Below are 3,867 nucleotides of genomic sequence, written 5' to 3' on the forward strand. Positions count from 1 at the left end.
GAGCCTCCAATCTGCTTTTAATGCCTCATTCATAAACCTTAACAAGCAACGAGGGATCACTGGGCATTGGGTTAAAGCCTCCATTATGAAAATATTATAAAACAATAATACAAGAAAAGAATTCAGAGCAGAAAGACAACACAGAGAACAGAAGAATTAAAAATATCTTTGGAGAGTTAACAACAGGTATTGTGTTCATAAAACAAGAACGGGGTGCTGTGAAAAGAAACTATCAGAGAATCACAAAGAGCTATTATAAATTAAGAATAAGAAAGGCAAAATGACAATTTGACAGAAAGGTTGATAAAGGTAAGAAAAAGTCCTCAAAGTATATCAAAAAAACACAAAGAAATGGAAAGTGTACAAATTTTAAAAATTAGTCAAATGAGAAGACACCATATTTTATTAATAGAAGGTCTAGAGAGATTAAGAGAAATAGAGCAAATGAAAGTACCTAAGAAATAACAGGAAAAACATTCAGAACTGAAAGACAAGACATTTGTCTCCTGGTTATAAGAATATTGCAAGTACCCAGCCCAATTAATAAAAAAGAGAGACCAAACCAATGCATTACCAAGGCACATTATCATGAATTTTCAGAACACTGAGGATAAACACAATATCTTAAATACTTCAAGAAAGAAAGAAAGGAAAGAAAAAAAAGGGATAAGAAAAAAACCTAGGACAAAACAATAGATCGCATATAGAGAATAAAGAATTAGAATGGCATTGAATTTCCCAAAAGCAATATTGGAGACTAGAAGAAGAGGAAAAATTGCTTTCAAAATTCTAAGGCAAAATGACCATAAACCCTAAATTTTGTATTATTTAGCATTCTCAGTGGGGTCTGAGAGTAGAATAAATATATATTTAAACATATTAGGACTCCAAAAATGTTACCTACCATTACCTTTTTTTTTTTTTAGGGACCCACTGCAGGTTACATAATTCAGAAAAAGTAGGAAATAATTCAAGAGAGAGTTACAGAATATACATACTCTAATGTTAGAGTGAAAAGATGTCCCAGTTTATTTGAACAGTCTTGGTTTAGCTCTAGTGTTTGGACATAATTGTAAGTAACACTCCTTTTATTCTCAAAAGTGTCCTCTTTATTTCTAAACGGTGTATACTAATCTCATATTTTATGATGTTCAAGATTCTTAATCAAATTTCCTCATTTTGGTTCAATGTGAAAAAACATGATGAAACCAATGATTCAATTTAGATAAATTCTGGGAAATGAATTAGAAAATATACATGATTATCTTGTAGCTATGAGATAATCATGCTGGGAGTAAACTTCTCATTAGCAGATGCAAGTTTCCTTCGAGTAAAGTTAGTAATGAAATAAGACAAAAATATGTAAAAATAAGTTTTCAACATTCATAAACTTTATTCAGATGTTCTACTCATTTTTGCTTCTCATATAGGTCAGCAGAAAATGCTTATCCAAAGATTCCTCTCATAATACATGGCATCTATAAAGGTGATCATAAGATGCTAATATGTCAATCCCAGTGATGTAACTTTTAAGTTCTTTGGGTTTATTGCCAGTTGCCTTTGCAGTAGCTAAAATATTGATCTCTTTATTTGGAGCCTAGAAATGAAAATGTCTAAAGCATATACTTCTTTTTAAAGACAGCCTAAACATAAAAATTAGCTCATTCAGAGATCTGATGCATGCACCCATCCCAGCCACTGTGTTAAGTGCTTCCCGTACACCCAGGGAGATGGTTCCATTCATGAACTCCAGAAGATTTGGTTGACAGTGATTCAAATTATGATTATGCCTCTTATTACCTGCATGACCTCTGGGAAACTTACAAAACCCTCTATGCTTTAGTTTCTCTATCTACAATTTCTCATAATTTGGTGTTTTACATTTTTTTTGCCAATCTCTGTTTTGCTATATGAATATTTCCCAAATATGGTTGTATTACTAAGCCTTTATTGGAGTCATGTTGATAGGTTCATCTTCTTTCCCCCAACATTGAAAGAAACTATGCTGCATAGTTTAAAATATTAGTGCATGTTGTAACTTGATCACAACCAACAGTAATTAATGTAAAAGGAAAGATACTGTGATTCTTGCCACACTTCCCTACCCCTGCCTACCTTACAGTGGGAACAAGCAGTTAACTTTATGACCTCACCAGGCCGCTGAGAGAAGCCATGGATTCCAGATATTTTCCTATTGATAGAGTTAAATATAGCATTTAAAAAGCCAAGAACCTAGAAAATGTGAAAAGGAGAAATAACTCACCTGGCACACTATGTTTACAGTTGGTGTGCGTTGGTTTTGAAACCATCACACGAGGTTATACGGTCAAACAGCAAGACTGAGTTACGTAACCAGATGATAGGTTTATGTTGACAAAGTTTCTTTACAAAGATGAAAGAACTAACTTCCTAAATACTTATCACCATCTTTTAAATGTGTAGCTATGTGATAATTTAAGCATAATTTTGTTGACATCATTTCTTTTAAGATTTTAGGATAAAATATATGGTTTGTTGTTTTCTGTTTTTTTTTTTCTTTTTCTTTTATTTTCATGTGGCAAGTGACGATTAAAGAATTAAAGTTTTCTGGTGAATGAAACAGCCAGACCACTTTTCATGACAAAGTTGGTAATTAGAAGGCCAATTTAATGGTGAATCAGGCAGAAATATTCAAACCATGACAAATGACTTTAATAATGCAGCTTGCAATGCTCGAACAGAAATAAATTTCACTTCCTCAAACTCTCGGCTTTTTCTGCCTGCCTGGAAGATAGAACTGTCCAGGAGGTATTTTGTACCCTTTATTCAGTAAAGCTTTTACTAGATTTTAAGCGACCAAATAGCTTGCAAATGCAAAACATCATTCAATTTCGTATGATTTTTTTTCCTGAAGGTAGACCGTGTTCAGAATTCTGAGTAAGTCAAGATTTATTTTTCTTCTGTCCTGCTTAGCCCTGCAATAGTGTTTTATTGTTGCCACTCTCTGACTTGAGGTATTAAAGGGAGCTGCATTGGCCTCAAAATTGAAAGCTAATTTTGGTGTTTGTCATAAGTTTGTTAAGACCACATGCATTCCACAGTTTGAAAAATTTCATTATTCTGTCCATGCTGGGGCTTCGTAATTGGATAGTAAGGATGTTCAAAGACTAATTTAGTGAATTGCACAATATTTTAAATGGAATCATGCAGGTTTATGGGTCCTTGGGGGATTCAGCTAGGAGCCTCTCGAGAAAATCTGTTTATCAGTAAATGATATTAGCAGCTTTCACCTAGCTTTTGTCTTCATTAAATTGCTGCTCTCCCAATTGAGGGTCACATCTGAGGCCTGCTTTGATAATTTGTCATTATTGTCTTGTTTATTGGAGCATAAAGTTGATACAGGCTGGGCTGTGCTGTTTATACACCATGTGCAAAGAAGTTTTTATTAACAATTCCACCAGTGCTAAATCAAAGTGGAATTTTTTAGGGTTCAAGAAAGGGAATCATTTGTAGCATTCTAATTTCCTCTAAAACTCTCTGAGTCCATGCCATGCCCCCTTCTCTAACATGTATAACACATAATGGCATTGCTAGAGCCAATTCTCCACAGGCATTTTTTAAAAATCCATTTTTGTCTCTCAAAATAAGGTTAAATTTTGAAATCCTTTTCATAGTATTGGCCTGTCATATAAAACCGAATTCATGCAATAGACTTCCCTTAAAGTATAACATTTACAAATAATTACCATTAACTGTTTATCTTAAGAGACTTGGGGGTATAGTTATTAAAATTATTAAGAAACGTACTATTTATTGCAGTGCAGTCAAGCATACTTTTCATTGCACTTACATGTTTTAAGTGGTAAAGGGGAATTCTTTAAAACTGTG

Source organism: Homo sapiens, chromosome 13 (assembly GCF_000001405.40).
Source record: "Homo sapiens chromosome 13, GRCh38.p14 Primary Assembly".
NCBI lineage: Eukaryota > Metazoa > Chordata > Mammalia > Primates > Hominidae > Homo > Homo sapiens.